Here is a 25,475-nt window from a genome sequence, read left to right on the forward strand (position 1 = left end):
TTGATTATGGGGTAGTTTGCCCTAAAGAACTTCAATAATTATAGGAAACACCTACCTAGTGCTTATGTTTCCCATTGCACATTATTTAGGTATACAGATACTTTAAAACTTAATTCTTAAAAGTGAATTTACCTTCCCTAGGAAAATTCCTGGGTAACAAGTTAAGAATGTGATTTTCAAACAAATGCAAAATCATGGGAGTGACTTAGTTGATACCTTCTGTGCCATCTGGCTCTGCTTGCTCCTCACGCTGCTTTTGCTTAAATTTTAGGTTCCCATAATGCATCACAGCCCCCGTGAGCTTGTAAATGGAGACCTTTTCTTCATTAGTAAAGCCCAAAATATCAATAGCACTCTGTCAATATAACCAATAGGATAGCTGTTAGGTTGTGATCCACACGCTTACTGTTAATACTGCACATTCCCATTGCTGGCCTGAGGAAACTACCAGTGCTAATGGGAGACAAGGAACCCCTTAGATTGGGTATATAGAGAGTTGGTCAACCAAAGGCCAGCACAGAGCATTAGAATTATAGGTGCATACCCTCTGAAGATTCAAAACGGGAACTTAGAACAGAGAACAAAGATAGTAAATCTAAGGAACTTGTTATTTTGAGAGATGGTAGGAATCTAATGCAAGTCAATTGCAAAAAAAAAAAAATAGTTTAGAAATTTTCAGAAATGATAGATCTTTAGAACAATGTAAGGGGTAAGCAAAATGTTATAGGGGCACATCATACTCTTTTCATTTGACTCCAAGGGGCATGTCCATTTGCATCCTGGAATCTTCTTTTGCCATTTCTACTAGACACTGAATATTTATCTGGATCACCATTACTCTGACCCACCATAATAATTCCAATTTTCTTGTGTTCTACTTACATCTGTGGCCATCAGTTCTTCCTGATCATCGATGCTGGCCACACTGATCTCCCCTTGACTGACAAATGGGTAATCATATGGGTTCGTGGTAATCAGAAGCATTTCTAAGTACAGGAAACAGAACAAAGATAAACATAATTATCTTCTTCATTAAAACAAGAGATTTCTAGACAAATTGTGAGGCACTATATTGTTGTGGGAACTCAGGGACCCCAAATAGAGGGACCGGCTGAAGCCATGGTGGAAGAACATAAGTTGTGAAGATTTCATGGACATTTATTAGTTCCCCAAATTAATACTTTTATAATTTCTTACGCCTGTCTTTACTGCATTCTCTGAACATAAATTGTGACGATTTCATGGACATTTATCACTTCCCCAATCAATACTCTTGTGATTTCCTATGCCTGTCTTTACTTTAATCTCTTAATCCTGTCATCTTCATAAACTGAGGATGAATGTTGCCTCAGGACCCTGTGATGACTGCGTTAACTGCACAAATTGTTCGTAAAGCATGTGTGTTTAAACAATATGAAATCTGGGCACCTTGAAAAAAGAACAGGATAACAGCGGTGTTCAGGGAACAAGGGAGATAACCATTAGGTCTGGCTGCCTGAGAGCCGGGTGGAACACAGCCATATTTCTCTTCTTTCAAAAGCAAATAGAAGAAATATCGCTGAATTCTTTTTCTCAGCAAGGAACAGCCCTGAGAAAGAGTATGCGTTCCTAGGGGGAGGTCTCTAAAATGGCTGCTCTGGGAATGTTGTCTTTTACAGTTGTAGATAAGGGTTGAAATAAGCCTGGTCTCCTTTAGCGCTCCCAGGCCTATTAGGACAAGGAAATCCCGCCTAGTAAATTTTAATCAGACCGGTTGTCTGCTCTCAAACCCTGCCTCCTGATAAGATGTTATCAATGACAATGGGTGCCCAAAACTTTATTAGCAATTTTAATTTCACCCCAGTCCTGTGATCTCACCCTGCCTCCATTTGCCTTGTAATATTTTATTACCTTGTGAAGCATGTGATCTCTGTGACCCACACCCTATTCGTACACTCCCTCCCCTTTGAAAATCACTAATAAAAACTTGCTGGTTTTGTGGCTTGGGGGGCATCACAGAATCTGCCGACATGTGATGTCTCCCCCAGATACCCAGCTTTAAAATTTCTCTCTTTTGTACTCTTTCCCTTTATTTCTCAGACCAGCCAGCACTTAGGAAATAGAAAAGAACCTATGTGAAATAACATTGAATTATTGGGGGTGGGTTCCCCCGATATCACATGATGCTTTGTTGATGACTGATGGGCACTGGAGAGGCGTTTAAAGGATATTAGGCACCATCGCAAACACCTTGAAGTTGATGTCATGGTGCTCTTATAAATCCTTATTAAAAAATAAAATGGCCGGGCACAGTGTCTCATGCCCATAATCCCATCACTTTGAGAGGCCAAGGTGGCCAGATCACCTGAGGTCAGGAGTTCGAGACCAGCCTGGACAACATGGTGAAACCCCATCTCTACTAAAACACAAATATTAGCCAGGCATGGTGGCGCATGCCTGTAATCCCAGCTACTTGGGAGGCTGGGGCAGGGAGAATCGCTTGAACCTGGGAGGTGGAGGTAGCTGTGAGCTGAGATTTCGCCATTGCACTCTGGCCTGGGTGACAAAGTGAGACTCCATCTCAACAAACAAACAAACAAACAAACAAAACTATTGTAATCCAAAGAGGATAATCACATAATGGGAAAAGTTGTATCACTATAGTGTTGATTATATACAATCCAGAATTGGAAATAATCTATCTGTAAAGAGGGTATGGTTAAGTAATTTGTGCTTATTTCTAGAATAGAACACTATGCAACCATTGGAAATAATGATGTGGAGCTATATTTAGTGACATGGAAAAAGCTATGATACATAATTGCTCAGTAAAAAAGTAGATTACAGGAGAGCATGTAACCATGATTTCAGTTATGAAAATTGTATGTATGTATCTATATGTAGAGATATGTATACAGAAAATGACTAGAGAGATATTCATCCAAGTGTTCATGGTGGTTATTTCATAGTAGTAGGAATTAGAGATGTTATTTTCAGTTTTCCTTTTGATTTCCTTTGAATTTTTCTAATGAGCACATATAAATTTTTACCAAACTCACAAAGCTATTTATAAAATAAAAAGGCACATAAACTTGACAAAATTCAGTCATAGAATACTAGGTTGGACTGTGCATTGATAGGTACTGATGCAGTAATTCTGGAAAAGAATTATGACATTTCTTACCAATAAGTTCTGGTTTCTTATTCGATGTAATCTGGTAAAAAATATGATAACTTCTCTCAGCCTTAAGCTGGAAAACAACTCTAGACTTCTCTAGCAGATCTGGAAGGAAACAAATAACACATAAGAAAATTGTAAAAATTCATGTGACATGCGAATTTGATTTTTGGTCAGTTTTTTAGGTCATATGAATCAGAAATGATTTTAAAGATATCTGAACACTTACATGTTTCAATATCAGCAGATGCCAGTTTTCCAGTAGTGCCAAAGTGGATTCTGATGAATTTACCCTTGAAATAAAAGCTAATATTACTACCTTTTTTTTATATAATATTAAATCTTTGAGAAATTCCAAACATTTGATGCTGGTACTTTAATATTAAATCAATTCAGAGAGTATTTGCATCAGGTAGAAAAAGGTGTATCTCCTATTTTATAAGTAGAAGAGTTTTATCTTTGATTTAAAAATTGTAAATATTTCTTAAGTATGTGAAGTAATGGATATGTTAATTAGCATGTTAATCATTCCATAATATACACATAACATATATCAAAACATCACATTGTATTTCGTAAGTACAATTATTATTTGTAAATTAAAAATAAAAATTTTAAAATTGTGAGTAAGTGTAGATCATGACAGATAAGAAAGAACTCAGGAAAAAGGCCATATATCCTTCAAGATGGGGCTTTGATCTATGTTATTACATGCTCAGAGGAAAAGGAAAGAACAATGATGTAATAGAATGGGAATGAAAAAGATTCAGAGAATGTAATTACAAACATCTCATAAATTTTGACCAGTGAACAGCATCTATTAGCGTGTCCAAGAGACTTACAAAGCGAGAGGAGTTGTCATTCCTCACGGTCTTGGCGTTGCCAAAGGCCTCCAGTAGGGGGTTGGCACTGATGATTTGATCTTCCAGAGTCCCCTGCAAAGGCAAGAGCAGTCCTTGCATCTGGGGCTTGGGAATTTCCTACCTGAGAGTCCCGACAGAGTCTGGATTCTGACTGTGACAATCAGACTCACCTGTATTTTGCCAGAAGTAATTTCTTCCTTCTTCTTCTCACCAGTAACTGCAATTGTTGCAAAGTACTGGATGACACGCTTGGTGTTCACAGTCTTCCCTGCACCAGATTCTCCACTGTCAAATCAAAACTCAATCAGATGTGGTCTCAAACCTAGCAGCTATCACAGCCATGTAAAGAAAGCATAAAATCTACTTACGTGATCAGGATTGACTGATTCTCTCGGTCTACAAAAGAAATTATAGACATTTAATACTGTTTTCTTACATATTTGTAAATGATAAGTAAAGTAAAATGGAATGAACTTAGTATTATTCAGTCTGGACTTTGCAACCTTTAGGGCTTGGCAGGCTTTAGACCTACCACTTTCTCCCTCCCCAACTTTAGCACACATCCACCCATTTAAACAGAACACCACTACTTTTATTGGTTTTATATTCAAATCTTCCAAGAAATATTTCCTTCGAGGAAAAAAATTCTAAGATGAAGGAAAATGTTTGAATGCCACTCTATAAGTGATGACCACGTGGCTGTGTATTCCTGAAGCACCAGACTTTTTCTTTTTAATACTCTATCACTAAATAAACACCAAAAGTAGACTTGGCTCTTTGGTTAGGTTTAGTTGATGATTTAAGTTAGGGACATATATATTGTGGGTGCAAGGCGTAATGAAGAATGAGCATTAGAGATATTTTTAATGTGTGAAAAGGAGTAAGTACAGTAAAGGTGATAGTTTTAGAAATACGGCTTTGGTCATATTTTTAGGAAAAGGTAAAATTTTGTTTTGATGTTTTACTGTCTCTGAAGAGGAATTCTCTAAGCCCCTTCTCAAGGTGCCACAAGTAGTTTAGATTGGTCTAGCCAAGACAATATTGTAGGAAGCAGATTCAACATCTAACTGTTTTAATACCAAATACACCTTAAATCTGGAGCCTGTTCAGGTTGGTTCTGGGCAAAGGGCGATAGCATTGTGCCGTCCTTCATATAGAGAGACTGTTTAATCTGTCACAATTTAGGATGCTGAGGCTGAAACTACAGAGACAAGTTTTACTCTTCCATTTTTTGGCTCATAGTAACGGAGACACAGTTTGTATGTGTGATTGTGCGTGCATGAGTGTGTGTGTGTGTGTGTATATATACATACACAGAAATATTTGTATTTTTGCTCATATTTATTTGAGTTTCTGAGTCATTCAAAAGTATACTAACTAACCATGGCCAGCCTCTGTTGAACTTTTCAAAATTTAAGAGATCATTAGCAATTATGTAATATTACGCATTACAAATCAGCCTTTCTCCCCTTCCTGGACCTTCTCCTTCATAAATACACCAGCCTCAACTAAAAGGGACGATCTCAAGGAATGTGTTGAGATTGCCTCGAGTCTCTTTCTCCTATGGTTCTGCTCTAAAGGTTTACGCACTTGCAAAGCATTCGGCTCACTCACCAGTCAGCATGAACTGATAGGCGTTGTCAGAGATGGAGAAGATGTGGGGCGGGGCCTCCTGGCGCTTTTTGCCTCGGTAGGCTGTCACCACCTCGGGCTTATACACAGGCAGCCACTTGTAGGGGTTGACAGTGACACAGAAGAGACCTGAATAGGTCTATGAGAAGGAAAAAGAATAAGTACCCAAAGACCTTTCCTGTTATTTGTGAAATTAACTTATTAATTGAATGTTTTTTTGAGACAGGGTCTTGCTCTGTCACCCAGGCTGGAGTGCAGTGGTGCTACCTCAGCTCACTGCAGCCCCAACCTCCCGGGCTCAAGCAATCCTCCCACCTCACCCTTCCAAGTAGCTGGTACTACAGGCATGCATCACCATGCCCAGCTAATTTTGTACGTGCTTTTTGTAGAGCTAAAGTCTCACTTTGTTGCCCAGGCTGGTCTGGAAATTAATTGAATTTTAACAAAAAGGAGCACTTTAAGTGAGTACTCTTATTTCTTCAAGGCATCAGCTTGAAAACTAGTTGGCAAGTTCAACAATGTGATAGCAGAATCCTGAGGGAAGTGACTACAATTCAGCTTTCTTATTGCTCTCCTCAGGGCTTTTCACAGTGATTTTTACATAGCAGAAGAAGAAGTACATGTTATTAAACACATGTGCTATGAAACTTTTATTGTTTTATGGAAATGGTTTATATTTTCTTTGCAGCATTAAGATAATTCAAATTTATGAGAACATAAATTTGGACATAAGCTAAGTGGCCAACAGTAAGGGAATGGTTAGGTGAACTATGGTAAATCTTCTAAGACAATTTGATGCAGGCATTTAAAAAAGTAAACATGAAAGTATACAGCAACACTCAGGAAATATTTACAAAACGTTTTTAAGTTATAAGGAAACAGGACACGAAATGATATATATATATATATATATATATATATATATACATCATGATTACAATAGGGGGATTTAAAAAATCTTTGACAATTGGTTCAAGACAAGCACCAACTAGTTAAACTGGATGCTGACCATCAACTCTAGGTACACTTGTATAGGTGTTGCCTAGCTAAATAACAGCACTGGCTAAACTATGCAAAAATATGAATATAGTATAATAAATTTGATTTAAAAATATTTACTGCATGTTTATTATGTGCAGACCTTTACCAGACAGTATAAATGAGACCAGATAAATGAGATGATGTCCCTTGAGGAATCCCCAGTCTATGTAGGAGACAGTCATGTAAATGAATGATCAAGGAGAAACATGGTTAGTGTTAAGGCAGGGACAGAAAGGAAAGGACAGAACATCTCACTGCTTGGGGAAGTGGGAGAGGTTTCATCGAGGAGGTGACATTCCAGATAGAAGGGACCAGAACACACAGATACAAATTGCTGTTATTTCAGGGGATTGAAAATGAGTGAAATTTGTTTTTAAAAAAAAAAAAAATGTAGGCCAGGCATGATGGCTTATGCCTGTAATCCCAGCACTTTGGGAGGCCAAGGCAGGCGGATCATTTGAGCCCAGGAGTTCGAGACCAGTCTGGGCAACATAGTGAAACTCTGTCTCTGCTAAAAAAAATACGAAAAAAAAAAAAATAGCCGGGCATGGTGGCACATGCCTGTAATCCCAGCTACTCTGGAGGCTGAGGCACAAGAATCGCTTGAACCCACGAGGCAGAGGTTGCAGTGAGCCGAGATCGCACCACTGCACTCCAGCCTGGGACACAGAGCAAGACTCTGTCTCAAAAAAAAATTAAAATAGTTTAAAGTGTTAAAACATGTTTATCTTTTCACTCTGGATGATTCTGCGGCTGGAGTGGGGAAAAGGAATGGGGAAAATTACCTGTGATTGAAATATAAGTAGTAACTGCTCAAATGCCTATTGAAGGGTTTCTGGGCAAACCTAGTCAACATGGACAGCGGCCTTCCCCAGCTTTGGATGGGAAAACAAGGAAGTGCTGGCTGTTGAGCTGTGCTTTACGATAGCAATCATGAAGCCTTTTAACTAGTTATGCTGCAATGAAAGTGAAATGGGTCACTACCTGTGACCTATTTATGCTCAGTGGAAGAAGCAGGATGGTAGGGTACATGAGGATGATTATACAGAGCACTGGCAGGGGACACTCACGTAGATCATCCAGGCTGCATAACGTTCTTTGAGGTTGTACAGCACAGCAGGCTCATGCAGATGAGTCATCATGGCCATATCCTCGATCTTGTCATATTTGGGAGGGTTCATGGGGAAGACCTGATCATCCTTCACTGTCAGAGTCTGGTAAACAGGAAAGATAACCGTTTACATTAATTGAGTGACCAAACAACAACAACAAAAATCAATAAAATGTGGCAAGCTCCTGGGATTCTACTCACCGCTCCTCCCTCAGTCTTCACCGTCACTTTTCCTCCTTCTCTGCTCTGGATGGTCCCTTTGACAAAGGATTCTTTGGGCTCCGCCACAAAGACAGATGTTTTGGCATCAAAGGGCCTATTCTGGGCCTCAATGCGCTCCCTTTCAGACTTTCGGAGGAAAGGAGCAGCCTCCCCAAAAACAGCCAATTCTGAGTCTGAACTCATGGCTGCTGAACTCAGAGGTCCTAAAGGAGATAAAACTTTCACATTAGAGAGTCTGGATTGCCATGTATACCAATAAATCTTAATATTTATTGTATTTCATAGGCCCAGTTGGAAATTCCACTAGACAGGTCTACTGTTCACCATACTATAGTTACTGAGACAAACATAATCACAAGAACGAAAATGCATCAGGTGGTCTCTGTGTACCCAATGCCGTATTTAGGGCTTTGCATCCACTGTCTTATTTCATCCTCCAGGACTCACATTCTCATTGGGAACTGAATTACAGTCCAGTGCTGCTGTCAAGTAGCTTGTGACCTTGGGTATGTCACTTGATGTTTTTGAGCCTAAGTGACTCCATCTTTAGAATAGGGATTATAAATTCTGCCTTTCTAAATTCACAGCCCATGATATATGTGAAGATACTTTGAAAAAGAGGTTTAAATGATGACTGAGAAAGTAATTTGAAATTGTTCAGGCCACCATTTATATATGAGATGTCATGAATTATCATGTCACAAAATTCCATGTCTTGAATGTAATGTAGAAGAACTTTATTTCCTCCTTTACCTGTTCAGCCAGATTTGTTGAAGTTCAGTGGCTTATTGGAGATTATAATTTTGTTTACCTTTTTTTCTTTTAGGTTAGGTGCTTAGTATAGTTTCTCTGACATAATTTTTTGCATATTAAATACAGTTCATCAGTTTAACCCCCTTAAACTAATTAGGGATAAAAACAGTAGCCAACGTTAACCTCATTCTTCTACATCTAAGGGCTCCCTTTACTATTCCAAATTTTCCTTTGAAGCATGCAGGCCCTGTTTGCTCCGTTCTATGTGATCTGTAGGTTGCCAGTGGTATCAGTAGAATGAAAGGTTTGGCAAATAATTCTACCGCAGTCATTACATGATCAAATTACTTGAAACTCATTTGAATCGTCTCTTCTAGTCTCTCCCTTTAGAAATGCAGTAAGTAGTGGGAGGGCAGATTAATACCTCTATTATATATAAGAAAAATGCCACAGCACTCGGCATTGTGTAAGGTGACTTTTTACAAGGGCTTTAAGAAGTTTAAAGAAAGGATTGTCTTACTTCCATTTTACATTGTTGGACATTATGTTTACTAAATGAATTCTAACAGCAGGATACATTTTTATCAAATTTGAGATTTTTAGCCAGGGAATCTGAGGGTAGACTCTTTTTTTCCTGCACAGACAATATATTTATTCAAAGCGATTCCCCTGCTCAAATGTCACCCCACCAATGCTTGAGCCGTAAATGAGGATGTGTGCATTGTCCTGAAAGGACAGTCCTCCCTTTCTCACCGCTTTCCTGAAGCACAGTTGTTAAAGGGTATTTACTGAGACAAGCACTTTCTGAAAGGTTGCTAAGTGACAGAAATCCATCCCAGAGCCTCTTGCATTCTCCTCCAGGAACTGGTTAGTCCAAATCTTACCTTGTTAGCAAGTGAGAAGATGTAGCCTGGGAGTGAGACAGTTCTATAAAAGAAAAGGGAAAAGCACTTGATTAGTTGACCAAAAAGAGGGGGAAAAAATCCCATTTATGGCATGGCTTGCTATTGTAAACAGAAGTAACAAAATTCATAGAGGTAAAACGTGCAGTTCCAGAAGGAGCAGTACCAGAACTAGCAGCTGCTGCTGACACTGGGCGGTGTGACCAGTGTCCCTCTTGAAAGGCCCGTCCTGCTCCCACTTACCTTGGAGCTTTTTAAAGCAGGACGAGTCAGCCTCATTCCAAGGGCTCTTTTATATGGATAGCTATGGAAACAATGCAGCTGCCTCTTCTTTCTTAAGTCAAAAGGAATTGTTTGGCAAAATACCTCTTGGCAATCTAGCGTCCCCGCATAATTCTCATTCATATTAAGAATGGTTGGATATAATTAGAAATATTTTTCTTATTGAGTATGTGGATAAATCTCCTATGGATAATTTGAGAAGATGATCTGAAAGAGTCAAGCTGGTGGATAAAGGCAGTGGCTGGGCAGCCAGGATACCTGGCTTCCCTCGGAACTTCTTTTTGGCTTTGCTGGGCACAGCATTCGGGCTTGCCTCGCATCACTTTCGCATATTTCACGTGTTAAGTCACATAAATAAAATACAAATATGTATTTTAATTTTGTGACAGTTAATTTTTACCTGTTGGTCCTTTCTTTCCAGCCCTGCAAAATTAAGCGATGTGCCTTCAACAACTTAAAGAGACAGAAGGTCCTCTCTGTTATTCCAATATTCCTGTAGTTTCAGGAATTTCCTTGCTCGCTCACCTTTTTGCTTTTGCCAAAGTTGTTCCCTCTACTTAGCACACCATTTCCTGTCCCCCTACCCATTTGACTTGCCTGAAATAAAAAAGGTTGAATATTTTCTAGTAGCAGAGGTGTTTTTAGAGAGTACTTTTCAACATTTTTTCGTGTCATAGCCCGCTGAGAAAAAAATGACAATATTAGTGTAGCATGCTAGAGTAATGTGGAAGGGATTTGTCTATATCTGTAAAGGGCTTGGGGAGAATATTTTTAATTTTTTTACATTCCTTTATGTAATATAAATATAATAACTATGATACACATAGCATTAAGGAAAATATTAAATACTGAATATGTCGGAAACTTACAAATAATATCTTCTTGAAAATCCTAAGGAAAAATTTGAGCTATATCCTACAAATAAAACTTGTTTGTTTCTGACTTTATTCTTGAAATATGACACAAATTTCCAGATCAAATTTTCAAAAATGATACAAACAGTATCTGTGTTCTTGATAATTACCATAGCGGGGATTTTTGTCCAAGAAGGAGGGATGAAAATGGAAAACCAAGTAATTTACAACTGTTGGAGTATTTTAAAAATTCACCAGTTCTTCTTTCTCCTTCATTGAAAAATATAATGTTGAATATTCTCGTACAGTGAAAATAAGTTTTTAATCCATTTAAACTCTCTCTTTCATATCAAATATTTCAAAGGATAATGAAGCTCTAATCTTCAAAAACTTCATGGGTTAAAGGAGTCATCAGCATTGGTCAAAGGGCACACCAGTCACAAATACACACAAGTACCTGATCTATTCAAAGTCTAAGGTTTGGAGCTATTACTGTGGGCTACCTCTTCCAGTACAACCTACTTAGCCTTCTGGCACCTTTACTCTGGCTGGATGCTCTCTGGGCTGCATGCCTTGTCCCAGGCATCCTGGAACACCAACCCTCCCAGCAATTCCAGGGGTCTCTTGACTGCAGAAGACAGCATTACATTCTCAGCTGGCTGCTGAAGTCCTTCTTGGTTCCATCCAGCACATGGCAAATACCACCATTGTGCTTGCCTCCTGTAGGAATCATAGGTTATGCTGTCAGACTCGAATGCAGCCCAGTCAACACTCTGAGGAACCCTTAGTCAGCCTTCTCCCAGCTAGGAGCCACCTCCCAAGGTCCCCCTCCCCATCCAGCCATTCTGAGACTGAAGAGATCAACATTTTATGGCACATCAGTTACCTTTTTGATGCCAAGATACACTGGTTGGGAAGCTCTGTTTTAAGGTGAGCTGTTGAGCTGTTTTTCCAAACTAAACAGCCATTTTTAGTGCCCACAGCAATAGTTTAATATTCTCTTGTTCCATCTCTGCTGCCAATGGGCATTTTCCTTATGTTTTATTAAATAGTTCTTATTTTATGTTATTTACAAAATGATCTTCACTTTTTTTTTTTTTTTTGAGATGGAGTCTCACTCTGTCACCCAGGCTGGAATGCAGTGGCATGATCCCGGCTCACTGCAACCTCCGCCTCCCGGGTTCAAGCAATTCTCCTGCCTCAGCCTCCCAAGTAGGTGGGACTACAGGCACATGCCACCACGCCCAGCTAATTTTTTTGTATTTTTAGTAGAGATGGGGTTTCACCATGTTAGCCAGGATGGTCTCAATCTCCTGACCTTGTGATACACCCGCCTCGGCCTCCCAAAGTTCTGGGATTACTGGTGTGAGCTACCGCGCCCAGCCTGATCTTCAATTTTAAGTCAATCCATGGTTCTATATTCTGTTTCCTCATTTGGTAAACTCCTTCAGTGAATACTGTGTTCTATAGGTAGCCGCTGTCTAATACATTGTTTTTGACTATAAAGAAGAAAATGCAAAGCCTTGTTCCCAGTAATTAAGAGACACACCTTAATTGTTCCCGTGCCACTTGGCTCAGGATCTGTGACTGTTAAATGTTCTCTGAGAACAAGAGCTTAAGGAATATGTCATTCGGGATCATCTTTTCCACTATGTAAACAGGTCAAAGACATACATTCACTTTGTGTCCTTTTCTTGATTTCATTGTATTTTTACCACTGCTGCAATAAGTCAGAGGCTTTCTACTTTGCATTGCTCACACCTGGGACTATCTGTCACATTTTGGTGTGGTGACAGCTTGGGAATGAGCTAATTTAAGAGTGCTGATACTCTCTCTGAATCTCCTTGCATTGTCTATGCCATGCAAGGAGATTCAGAGAGAGTAGCAGCCACTGATCTGGTCTTCAGGAAGGTTACAATCTGAGAAATCGGGAGAGCACTAATAGATGGCTCAAGTCACCTTCAGAACAACGTGACGGCGGCCTTTAAAAGTTACAGTGTGTAAATCCTTTGCAGAAAAGGATCCATATTTTCTGCATCTACTTGATCCTCATCAACACTTAGGATAGTGCTGACATGTAGAAAGTGCTCTGAAATTCTAGTTTATAAATTCTCAGATGCCCTGGGTTTCTTTATCCTAATCATTCTTGTCCCCAATAACTGAAATTGGGACCTGGATTTAACTTTTGGCTGCATACCAGCTGGATATCCTTGGAAATTTACTAAACCTTCTCAAGACTCAGCTTCCTGCTCTATAAAAGGGATAAGTGCTACCTCATAGGGGTTTGTGAGGAGTAAACAAGACACGAAAGTGCTTAGAAGCTGAAAACAGTGCCTGGTACCCATCACTCATTCAACTGATATTAACAATTGTGATTACTATTGCCCCCCACAGTTTGTTAGTTCTTATTCTGAAGTCTCTGCAGAAGTGAAACTAGTTTTCTTTCTGATCTCTATAACAAGACATGCTCCCTTGATCATTTCAGTCACTCAATAAACATTTGCACAGCATGACTATACGGCAGGCTCTCGGGTAAACTCCCCACTGCCACTATGGAATGCCCTCCTCTCTTTCATATTATTGTTTCATTATATCAAAATCCAGCTCAGCTCTTATTCAGACATTTTCTCAATTATTCCATCAGATAGAGAAAAGGCAGTTTGGCCTGCGCAGAGAGACAAACTGGCATTAGCTGTTACATGAAGAAAGGTGTGGTGTAAGAAGAGGCTGGTCGTGGTGGCTCACACGTGTAATCCCAGCACTTTGGGAGATTGAGATGGGTGGATCACCTGAGGTCAGGAGTTTGAGACCAGCCTGGCCAACATGGTGAAACCCCGTATCTACTAAAAATACAAAAATGAGCCGGGTGTGATCCCTGGCGCCTGTAATCCCAGCTATTCGGAAGGCTGAGGCAGGAGAATCACTTTTTTTTTTTAATTTTTTAAAAATTTTATTATTATTATACTTTAAATTTTAGGGTACATGTGCACAACATGCAGGTTTGTTACATATGTATACATGTGCCATGTTGGTGTGCCGCACCCATTAACTCGTCATTTAGCATTAGGTATATCTCCTAATGCTATCCCTCCCCACTCCCCCACCCCACAACAGTCCCTGGAGTGTGATGTTCCCCTTCCTGTGTCCATGTGTTCTCATTGTCCAATTCCCACCTATGAGTGAGAACATGCGGTGTTTGGTTTTTTGTCCTTGCGATAGTTTGCTGAGAATGATGGTTTCCAGCTTCATCCATGTCCCTACAAAGGACATGAACTCTACATTTTTTATGGCTGCATAGTATTCCATGGTGTATATGTGCCACATTTTCTTAATCCAGTCTATCATTGTTGGACATTTGGGTTGGTTCCAAGTCTTTGCTATTGTGAATAGTGCCGCAATAAACATACGTGTGCATGTGTCTTTATAGCAGCATGATTTATAATCCTTTGGGTATATACCCAGTAATGGGATGGCTGGGTCAAATGGTATTTCTAGTTCTAGATCCCTGAGGAATCACCACACTGACTTCCACAATGGTTGAACTAGTTTACAGTCCCACCAACAGTGTAAAAGTGTTCCTATTTCTCCACATCCTCTCCAGCACCTGTTGTTTCCTGACTTTTTAATGATCGCCATTCTAACTGGTGTGAGATGGTATCTCATTGTGGTTTTGATTTGCATTTCTCTGATGGCCAGTGATGATGAGCATTTTTTCATGTGTTTTTTGGCTGCATAAATGTCTTCTTTGAGAATCACTTTTGAACCCAGGGGGTGGAGGTTGCAGTGAACCAAGATGGCGCCATTGCACTCCAGCCTGGTGACAGAGCGAGATCCGTCTCAAAAAAAAAAAAGAAAGATATGAAGAAATGAGGGCCCAGGCTAGGGAGTTGGTGATGGAAGTAGATAACTGATCAAGAAATTGGTTAACAGGTGATCTTTGGAGCGGGGAACTGAATGTTAGGTAACTTGGTGGAGGGGAGACTGACGTTTCATACCATACCATTTTTGTATTTTCAAAATTTTATGCTGGGTGCATGTATTATTGCTTTAAAAATTAAAAGTGATGATTTGCCAAAACAGGATCTCCCTTAAACATTGGAAGAAAAGAACAGATGGGATTAAAAGAAGAATTAAAGAGATGCCAGATTAAGCCCTAGAAGAGTCAGGACTCAAGATGAAAGTTTCCCAGTGACTGCTTCTGTGTTTTTTCCATGGACTAAACTCCAGGCCCATCAATCCACATTGTTAATGAGTGTTGATATTGTTTTCTAGGAATGCATTGGTTTTCTGTTTCAAACTTGGTACCTTTGCACCAGTAACCCACACGTATAAAGCCCCATCGATAGAGAGCTCTACTTCCAAATGTCTAGTCATAGAACTTTCTGAAAATTTGCTTTATAAAGAAAAAAATTGGCTAGTAAGAGGCCTGTAGGAGAGCTCATAATTTGAAGTTATTGAGAGACATAATTCAGAGCCACTTATAATTTGAATAAAAATATATACATATATTCAAATTTATGTACTTATTTAAATGTATTTATATATAAATTACAAATATAATTTTTATCATATATTACATTACTCTTTTTAGTTCCAGATTTAGCTTTCAAAGAATACATTATTTAGTCCTAATTTGAAATAAGTGGAAAAAGGAAAATTTGTATCTGTTTGCACTCATGGGTAGAATTGTACAGGAAGTTGCTGGAGGGGGTGCTATATCAAAATCCAAGAATCCAAAGACTTGCTGTATGTAAAGCATTCTATTAAGTGCTCAGGAGAGAGGAAGATGGGCCTAGCTCTCAGCAGTTCCACCAGCACAAAACACATAATCTGCATGTAAATAAGGGAGTTTGGTGATCCTTCGTGGAAAAATTTGGGAGAAGCAAAACTAACTCCCTTAAGACTAAATTAACGTTTGTTTGTTTTTCTATCCACAAAAGTAAAATTGGTACATGGATATTCTAGAAATTTGGAAAAAGCACAACAAAAGAATGAAAGTTAAGAGAAATGATTTCTTACTAGTGAGTGTAGAAAAAAATGCATTCATTTCTGCACATTTCAACATTTGCTTACCATCTTTCATTAGGTTAATTTGATTATGCAATTAAGAGGCACAATCAGTATGTATATAAACTCTATAGTCCTCATGCCTGTCAAATATTAGGCATCAATACGTGTTGGTTGGATGACAAAGGAATAAGCGTTATTCTGATAATGCCACTACTTACCTGGCATTTTATAGCCTGTAAAGTGAGCCTCTTTCAACAGCTCTGAAGTACGGATAGCACAGATAAATTCTCTTCTCTTCTTTGTTTTCTAAGAAACCATGATCTAAAGGGTTATTATACGGCTTACCTAATCAGGGTGGAGCTCAAAGATTTCTTGCCCCATTCTCCATTGATTTTAACGCCTAATATATTTAACCCTGAGTACTGTTCACTCCAGAATTGCTCTAACGCCTTTAGGTTGACTATTAGGATGTGCATTCATAAACTGCTAGCCTTACTCAGGCTTCTTACAATATTGTGAGGAAGATAAAATGATAAATATGCCAATAGTTATTCCAGGATGTAGAAAATGTTAAGTGTAAATCCCCAAAGGAGAGGGCATTCCCCACAAACCCTCTGCTATCCTGTTTGCTCAGTCTCTTCAAAATTAGCACACTGACTGTGAGAGTATAGGCAGATTTCTTTAACGAAGAAGTAGCATTTTGTTGAAGGATCAGGGAAGGCCTTGTAGAAGTGTCATCTGAGATGGTCCATGAAGGAATGGGTAGGATTTAACAGATGGAGATCCAGGAAGAAAGAAGTTCTAGGTGCAAGAACAGAAACTGAAAGAACTGAAGTGGAAGGAAAAAAATTTGAAGTCTGTTTGAGGAGGAGAGAGCAGTCTTGTCTGACTGGAGTCTAACATAAGTGTAAGGAAGAAGTCTAGGGAGACAGTTGGAACCAGATGCATCAGAAGCTGTTGTCAGGCCTCACTCATTAAGAAGGAATGTTCTGGCCCAGAACTCCAAATGAGGCTGACCAGAGCAGCTTCTTTTTATCTTTGTTCTCAGACCACAGACCCCTTATTTCCTTATTTTTCACTCGGTTCTACACTCTCAGATTAGTTTTCCATCCCCCATATCCACACGTCCACTTTGGCCTCCTCCTTTGGCCTCCTTTTGCTCATGATCTCCCACCCTTGACCATACTTGATCCTATTAGTCAGGGCACTTAACCCCTCTCCTACTTCTGTGACCAACGTCCTTCCTCCTGCTGATGCCTGTAGAAGCTGGAAACAGTTATGGGTTGTTTTTCCTGCCCTGCCAAGCCCACTCAGCTTGTGACAACAACGAGCCTTGAATGCTTGGCACCAGGGTTTGACTTGAATAAAATATTTAACCCTCTTGGCTTGGGCACGGTGACTGACATCTGTAATCCCAGCACTCTGGAAGACCAAGGTGGGAGGATTGTTTGAGTCCAGGAGTTCAAGACCAGCCTGGGCAACATAATGAGACCCCAATCTCTACAAAAATTAAAATTAAAAGTTAACCCATGAATATGGGGCTGTTAGCCAAAACAACACTTCCATGAATTTAGAATGCTGTATCATTGAGGACCAAAATTATCTCATGCTTACTTTAAAATAAAATCTACCAATATTTTTTGAGGAATTTTAATTTTACTTGACTATGGTGCTTTTTAAAGTCAATTTTTAGGAATGGAAAAAGTATTCAATTAACCCAATTCTGTTTTCCTTCTCTCAGTTGCAAGAATAAAAACTGGATTAAAATAATTTTCATCTTGTCCTGCCAAAATTATGCCCCCACAAACAAACAAACAAATGCAAACCCAAATCTCAAAAGAGAAAAGAAAAATAGAAGTATGAATTAGGGTGGGAATGGAATTCTCATGGTTGAGGGAGGAAAGATTTTTGCTATTCTGTGAGCTGGACATTTTAAAGAAACCCAAATGTGGATCAACTTCCTCAAAACTGCTGCTTTTTCTTTGTGGTTTTGGCTTGTCCCAGGTCAAGCAACTGGTCCAGTGGACAGGAGTTGATTAAAACAAGGCTGTGTTCCAAGGCTGAAGAGTATTTTTAGATCTTGAGGAAGAATTTTTTTTTTTTGAAGGAAAGGATGGTAATGTCATCCAAAGTACTAGTCCTGTGCAGAAGCTGCTACTTGGCATGTCTCAAGAAGCACTTCAAAAGGAATGCGGCCAAAGGCCAAGCTTCAGGAAGCCAAATGCTGGAGACCCAGTTGTTCTTCTGGTCTATTTGGAAAACATGATGGCAGACATTTTCATGGATTTTCTCATCGTTTGCCCCTTTTATAAACCTTCATGAACACAGGCATTTGCTTTGTTTTGATTGCCCTGTGGAAGACTCTAGCTTAATGTTCTAAATTATTTCTTCTTTGAGCAATAAGAACAAAAATGATCATTGGAAACCCCCAAGATATATCATATCCTTGTAGGAAAATATTAGCTGGCCAATCTTGAACAGTCTTCAAAGTAAAAATTATGGGAAGAATGGATGAAACAAAGATCAGATGCTGGCGTGTGTACATGTGGGTGCACTGTGTGTTTATGTGTGCCCAGCATTCATGCATGTACTTCATGTGGGTGCACTGTGTGTTTATGTGTGCCTAGCATTCATGCATGTACTTAACTAAAAGTGCCCTTTGCAATTAGGAGAAAGGCAGGAACGGTGGAGCTACTTACTGTTCTTGGATGATTCAGACTCATCAGGGGGTAGCTGGGTGTTTAGATAGATAAGTGCTCCCTGCTAAGATCTTACCAAAGCAAACGATTCTAACTTGGCATTCAGGAAAATCAATAAGTGGAATAAAGAAACTGAATTTCTGGAAATTATCTTCAATTGAATCGCGTGATGTTGGCTGAGCTACTCAGGTCCCGCAAGCAAAAACTTAGGAACAGAAAGTTTTTATCAGCTGACTGAAGTGCCATTGCTTGGTGCATGACTGTATTATAGTTTCAAAGTGTTGATGCCTATAAATAATATTTTTAAATATCTACAACTACTGGCTGGGCACGCCTGTAATCCCAGCACTTTGGGAAGCCAAGGTGGGTGGATCACTTGAGGTCAGGAGTTGAAGATCAGCCTGGCCAACATGGTAAAATCCTGTCTTTACTAGAAATACAAAAATTAGCCGGGCATGGTGGTGGGCACCTGTAATCTCAGCTACTTGGGAGGCTGAGGCAGGAGAATCGCTTAAACCCAGGAGGCACAGGCTGCTGTGAGCTGAGATCATGCCACTGTACTCCAGCCTAGGCAACAGAGCAAGGCTCTATCAAAAAAATAAAATAAAATATTTACAACTACTGAAATATGATATGAATATCTGTCTTGGTGACTGTGATGGTTAATTTAATGCGTCAAATTGACGGGGCCAAGGAGATATAGATATAGATACACACACACACACACACATATATTCAGTTGTTTCTGTTTCTCTGGAGAACCGTGACTGATAAAGCGACAAAGTCACAAGCACTACTACTAGTACTTGGGTTTGTTTCCCACATCATATTTGAAGGAAATGAACTGCAGGTTAATTGTTTCTTAATAACTTCATATTTTCCCAGTCCAAAGGCTGCTCACTTTTCAAGAACCAGCAGATTTCTCCACCCATTACAATCCCCACTGAGACTCCACATTTCTGAAGCCTTTGTGTCCATATAATAATAACACCCAGCAAGCTGCTTCGATTGTTCATAACATTTCAACGTTGTGTTTCATCTCTCCTTTATCGGTGTAGGTTTCTTGGAAGCAGGGACTGGACTTCTGCTTCTTTTGAAATTCCCTGCCTCAGCTGCAACCAGCATACTGATGGGAACCTGGTATTCCAGTGGTTCTCAACCCTGAACACACATCAGAATAACCTGCAGATGCTTGGGTTCTATTTCCCAGGCCAGTGGTTCATTAAGTGTGATCCCCAGACCAGCAGCATCAGTATCGCCTGAGAATTTCTTAGAAATGCAACTTATCAAGCCCTACCTACAACCAACACAATCAGAAACTCTGGGGGTAGGGCCCCACAGTCTATGATTTTGGAATGCACTAAAATTTCAGAATCACTGCCCTAAGGACTCTGATTCTGAAGAAATGGAGCGGAATTCAGAAAACTTCATGGAAAAAGTACCATTACCTGGTAAATTCCATGAGGTCAAAGGTAGGGTCCAATTTTGCTCACCGTTATACCTCAAGGGCCTGTCTTAGTGCCTGACAGATGGTCTGGACTAGAAACTATTTGTTGAATAAAAGAAAGAAATGCAATTTGTGAGGCCTACGTATTGTGCAACTATATTTTTCAGTGTCTGCTGACTTTTATAGAAATTAGATACAAGTCCTTTGAAAGATAAATATTCCCTTTGAAGGTGCCATTTATTGCAAGACATCAATTATTTAACAAATGATGCACTTGTTGTTCATCTAGTAGCTCCAACTAGTGTTTTGGCTTATGAGAGAGTTTTGAAAAACAAGCAAAAAGGTCAGCGTTTAGAAACCTAAATGCCTTCACCAAATTAAAGGAAACTTTGCTTTTTTTTTTCTCTTTTTGACAGAGTTTCACTCTTGTTGGCCAGGCTGGAATGCAGTGGCACGATCTCAGCTCATTGCAACCTCCACCTCCTGGGTTCAAGCAATTCTCTTGCCTCAGCCTCCTGAGTACCTGGAATTACAGGCGCCCACCACCTGTATTATTTGTATTATTACTAGAGACAGGGTTTCACCATGTTGGCCAGCCTGGTCTCAAACTCCTGACCTCAGAGGATCCACCCACCTTGGCCTCCCAAAGTGCTGGGATTACAGACGTGAGCCACCCCGCCCGGCCTGCATTTTTTTGTTCTATCAGGAGCACTTGCCGCGTTGAGCTCTTTGGGGTTTTCTGATCTTCTTGACTACAGGAAGGACAATATGAGCTCTTATACTCTACAGAATAAAGGAAGAAAATTCTTCTGCGTTTCACCTTCAAAATATAGGTAGAATAAACTAAAGCTACAGCAGACTACGATTTCCAAAAGACCATTATGTATATTCAAATAGCAAGTTGTCAGATAGTGTACTTTGCTCTTTAAATAGCGTGTCATTGATGCATTGATTCTACTACGTGCAAATTGTGGTGTAAGACAAAACAGAGAATGCTGAAAAGTGTTCCTTCTCTCAAAGAGCTCACAACACAGAAGAGAAATGAGAGCAGGGAATACAAATAACTACAGTCCCTCTTTATCCTCTTTAGTACTCGACAGAGCCCTTTCCAATGTTTTTCTTTATTTATCTGTTTGCTTATTTGTGAATTTGTTGTCTTCCCTCCTCACTAGAACATAAGTCAAGGAAATCTCATTTACCACCACATCTGACTGGCACTGAGGGTATTTCCTGGTGCTGGTGGACACAATCAATATTTCTTAAATGGAATGCTGGGGAAGGAAACACAAAGTTAAACACATGAATTACTACTTTGAAAATATTAGATCCCGCCGGGCGCGGTGGCTCACGCCTGTAATCCCAGCACTTTGGGAGGCCAAGGCAGGCAGATCATGAGGTCAGGAGTTCAAGACCAGCCTGACCAATACGGTGAAACCCCGTCTCTACTAAAAATACAAAAATTAGCCGGACCTGGTGGCACGCGCCTGTAGTCCCAGCTACTCCAGAGGCTGAAGCAGGAGAATAACTTGAATCCAGGAGGCGGAGATTGCAGTCAGCCAAGATCGTGCCACTGCATTCCAGCCTGGGCGACAGAGCGACACTCCATCTCAAAAAAAAAAAAAAAAAAAATTAGATCCCACTCTGAGGCATCTATTTTCATGTTCTCTGATGAGGACCTATGCTCTGGATTCACATGGATCTGCGGGGTTCAAGTCTTGGTTCTGAAACTCGCTGCTGTGTGCTTTTAACCACATTGCTTAACTTTTGACAGTTTCTGCTGCCCCTCCATCGTGATACTTAACTCTGTATTGCCTCACCTGAAGTTTAATTTCTCTCTAAGTCTGTTATTTAAGATAAGCCAAAAAATGTCCCGTAATATTGAAAAATATATTTTACTAATTCCAAGGACTGCTCGCTTATAACCTTGAAATTACAAATATTTTTATGAGAAACTATACATGTTACATTAAATTTATTTTCTTATTGTTATTTTTGTAGAAAGCTGTGTTAGCTCCCTCAAAGTGGTAAACTAACTTTTCATAAGAGGATAATTTTACCCAACAACCTTGTGATAATTAACTCACCATGACTTCCAAATATAGCTCCAATTTACCCAAGCATTATTAAAGGACTTTTAAAATTAGGAGCACAGCTAAAGGAATTTCCTCCTTGGGTTTACAAGTAAAATTAAAGTGACTGAGAATAACTTCAAAACACAAGGCAAGACTTATTTACCTTACGAGTATTATTGGTTAGTCAGTTGAAGTAATTTTAAATTCCATTCTTATTATTTTAGGCTTCAATAATTCTAACAAAAAGTTTTTATGTGTATGTATAAATATATATGTTATATTTATATAGTCACTAAATAAATATTTTTAGAACCATGTTTTTCAAACTTTTTCTTCCCATTGCTGAGATGAGATGGTCTTTTCTATGAGTTTTTCTAAATAAGCTGCAAGGTTCTTTCTCATGTGTTCTGGGAGATGTATCTTCTGGTGGTGAGATGCCTAGCCACCCACCTGGGACAGCCATGAGACCTGGTGAGAGAATTGCTAAATCATGAAACTCTCCAAGCTTCCAATGCCCTATATGTAAGGTCAGAATTGTAACACCTGTCCTGCTTACAGATCAAATAAAAAATTGTGTATAAGGGTGCTGTGATTTGACTGTGTCCTCCAAAGTTCATGTATTGGAAACTTAATTCCCAATGCAACAGGATTGAGAAGTGGGATATTTAAGAGGTGATTAGGACACGAGGGCCCTTCCTTCATGAATGGATTCAGCTGTTATTGCAAGAGTGGGTTCCTAATAAAAGAATGAGATAAGTTGGACATCTTCTTCCCTTCTTCTCTCCTGATTTCCTCCAGTTCTGTCTTCCACAATGGAATGACAAGCAAGAAGATTTTCAGTAGATGCTAGTGCTTTGATATTGAACTTCACAGCCTCTAGAACTGTGAAAAATAAATTTCTCTTATTCATAAATTATCCAATCTGGGATATACTGTTATAACATGAAACAGCGAAAGACAAAGGGTTTCATAAGTGGAAAAACTATATATACCTATGCATGTGTGTATGTATAACAGCATATATATATATATATATATATATATATATAGTAGCACTCTATCAGCATAACACTAAACACTATATATGTATAAGTATATATATACATATACAGACATGCATCACTTAACAATGGGGATACATTCTGATAAATATGTCATTAGGCAATTTCTTCACTGTGCAAACATCATAGAGTGTACTTACACAAACCTAGATGGTATAGCCTACTACATGCCTAGGCTATATGGTCTAGCCTATTGCTCCTAGGCTACAAACCTGTTACGTGCATGTTACGATACTGAATACTGGAGGCAATTGTAACACAATGGGAAATATTCATGTATGTAAACATCTAAACGTAGAAACAGTACGGTAAAAATATGATATAAAAGATTTAAAAATGTCAGACCAATATAGGATACTTACATGAATGGAGCTTGCAGGACCGGAAGTCGCCCTGGGTGAGTCAATGAGTGAGTAGGAGTGAACGTGAAGGCCTAGGACATTACTTACTGTATACTATTGCAGACTTTATAAACACTCTACACTTATGCTACATAAAATTTATAAAAACGTATTTTTCTCCAGTTATAAATTAACCTTAACTCACCATAACATTTTTACTTTATAATTTTTTGACTATTTGGTAATAGCACAGCTTAAAACACAAAACACATTGTATAGCTTTGAAAAAAATATTTTCTTTAAGCTTTTTTCTATTTTTAAAATTAATTTCTTTTGACTTTTAAAACTTTTTTGTTGAATACTGAGACATAAACCCACACATTAGCCTAGGCCTACACAGGATCATTAATATCACTGTCTACCATCTCCACATCTTGTCCCACTAGAAGGTCTACAATGTCACTAGGCAATACAAATTTATCAGTGCCATTATAATCTTTTTTTTTTTTTTCTGAGATGCAGTCTGGCTCTATTGCCCAGGCTGGAGTGCAGTGGTGCAATCTCAGCTCACTGCAACCTCTGCCTCCCGGGTTCAAGTGATTCTCCTTCCTCAGCCTCCTGAGTAGCTGGGATTACAGGCATGCACAACCACGCCTGGCTAATTTTTTTTTTTTTTTTTTTTTTGGTATTTTTAGTAGAGACGGGGTTTCACTATGTTGGTCAGGCTGGTCTTAAACTCCTGACTTTGTGATCCACCTGCCTCGGTCTCCCAAGGTGCTGGGATTACAGGCATGAGCCACCGTGCCCGGCCAGCGCCGTTATAATCTTATGGGACCACCACTGTATATGTGGTCCATTGTTGACTGAAACGTTATGTGGTGCATGACTGTATACATACCTATATTATATAATATATACATATATGTAAGTTATTGCTGCTGATATTCTTTAATGGCTTGCTTTTATAAATCCCACAGGAAATGGTTATCAAAGCATTTCAGTGGACCTAGTCATTAGTTATTCACTCTCTAAGCCTCTGCTAGTAAGACTGAATATGATTGGTCTTCATATTTGAAAGCAAAGATATTCTTTTCACAGTTTAACACTGTCTTGCTTTTTGCTTTTCTTTTTTAATAGAAAGTATTGGAAAATACAAATTGGTAAACACTTACTGACTCTGAATTTTAGCTAGAAGAATCCTCTTATTCCTTGACAACTATTTCTTAACTGGGGAACTGGAGCCTTGGATGGCAAAAGGACAGGTCTGAGCAAAATGCCCTGCTGTCCAAGAGGGATCTGGCAGTGACCTAGCACAAATGTCCCTTCTCTTGTGACAGCCTCTCACAGACTCCACTAAGCCTTTCTCCAGTCGGACATGGCCCTTTATTCAGACCTCTTTCTGGTGTTGACTATGTGGTGGGGAAGTTACTTAGGGTTTTTTGCAATAAGTAATACCTTGCTATATGCAGTGATAACATTGTAAAAATTAAGTATATAAGCATATAGAGTTAAAAAGTGAATGTCCTCCTTTCCCTCTCTCCCCTTCGTGCCACTCTTAGCAGTTTGGAGCATGGCCTTTCGGATCAATTTGTATGCAGTTTTAATATGCACATACAAAAACATGTAATAAAGAGATCATTCTGTACATTTTGTTCTACTTCTCAAAAATCTTTTCATGTCCGAACATATATTGATATATCTATTCCGTAATATAAATATGTTATTTAACTTCCGATGAACATTCCTTTCTTTCTCTTCTTCTTTTTGCTATTACAAACAATGCACCAACAAACACTCTGTTCTATACTCAAACACATACACATAGGCACATATGTATCTGGAGGATACTTTTATAATCTTGTTTTATACAATTGGTTGTTTAATGCAGGTAAAATTTATTTTTATATGTAACGTGATGTAAAAATTTAACTTTACTTTAAAAAACGGATATCTAGGCCAGGCGAGGTGGCTTACGCCTGTAATCTCAGCACTTTGGGAGGCCAAGGTGGGCGGATCACCTGAGGTCAG

At 39.2% G+C, this 25,475-nt stretch overlaps 1 protein-coding gene and 1 long non-coding RNA gene across 3 annotated transcripts in view, besides 1 other annotated feature; one reads left to right on the forward strand and one right to left on the reverse strand.

Moving 5' to 3' along the window:
- MYH2 (myosin heavy chain 2) overlaps positions 1-9,947 on the reverse strand; it is a 28,511-nt gene extending 18,564 nt beyond the window's left edge. Inside the window, exons 1-12 of one of the 2 annotated variants that reach the window (NM_017534.6) lie at positions 9,925-9,947; positions 9,664-9,706; positions 8,006-8,229; positions 7,764-7,907; positions 5,635-5,791; positions 4,389-4,416; positions 4,191-4,305; positions 4,000-4,092; positions 3,387-3,450; positions 3,164-3,262; positions 883-986; positions 217-355 (exon numbers count right to left, since the gene is read on the reverse strand). In NM_017534.6, the coding sequence (NP_060004.3) occupies positions 217-355; positions 883-986; positions 3,164-3,262; positions 3,387-3,450; positions 4,000-4,092; positions 4,191-4,305; positions 4,389-4,416; positions 5,635-5,791; positions 7,764-7,907; positions 8,006-8,209 (1,147 nt within the window). In that variant the 5' untranslated portion in view covers positions 8,210-8,229; positions 9,664-9,706; positions 9,925-9,947. Of the gene's footprint in view, positions 1-216; positions 356-882; positions 987-3,163; positions 3,263-3,386; positions 3,451-3,999; positions 4,093-4,190; positions 4,306-4,388; positions 4,417-5,634; positions 5,792-7,763; positions 7,908-8,005; positions 8,230-9,663; positions 9,707-9,847 lie in introns of both variants that reach the window. The other variant, NM_001100112.2, reaches the window with a different exon arrangement.
- The window catches only part of MYHAS (myosin heavy chain gene cluster antisense RNA), a 242,409-nt gene that overhangs the window by 156,580 nt on the left and 60,354 nt on the right, over positions 1-25,475 (forward strand). The gene's annotated exons all lie outside the window — the stretch shown is intronic.
- Positions 3,228-4,427: an enhancer, noted in NCBI's record as "CDK7 strongly-dependent group 2 enhancer chr17:10446256-10447455 (GRCh37/hg19 assembly coordinates)". NCBI's record gives its function as "activates an origin of replication core promoter dependent on BRD2, BRD4, P300/CBP, MED14 and CDK7 cofactors, with strong dependence on CDK7, by STARR-seq in HCT116 cells {active_cell/tissue: HCT116}" and the evidence as "EXISTENCE:reporter gene assay evidence [ECO:0000049][PMID:35650434]".

Source organism: Homo sapiens, chromosome 17, assembly GCF_000001405.40.
Source record: "Homo sapiens chromosome 17, GRCh38.p14 Primary Assembly".
Classification (NCBI taxonomy): Eukaryota; Metazoa; Chordata; class Mammalia; order Primates; family Hominidae; genus Homo; species Homo sapiens.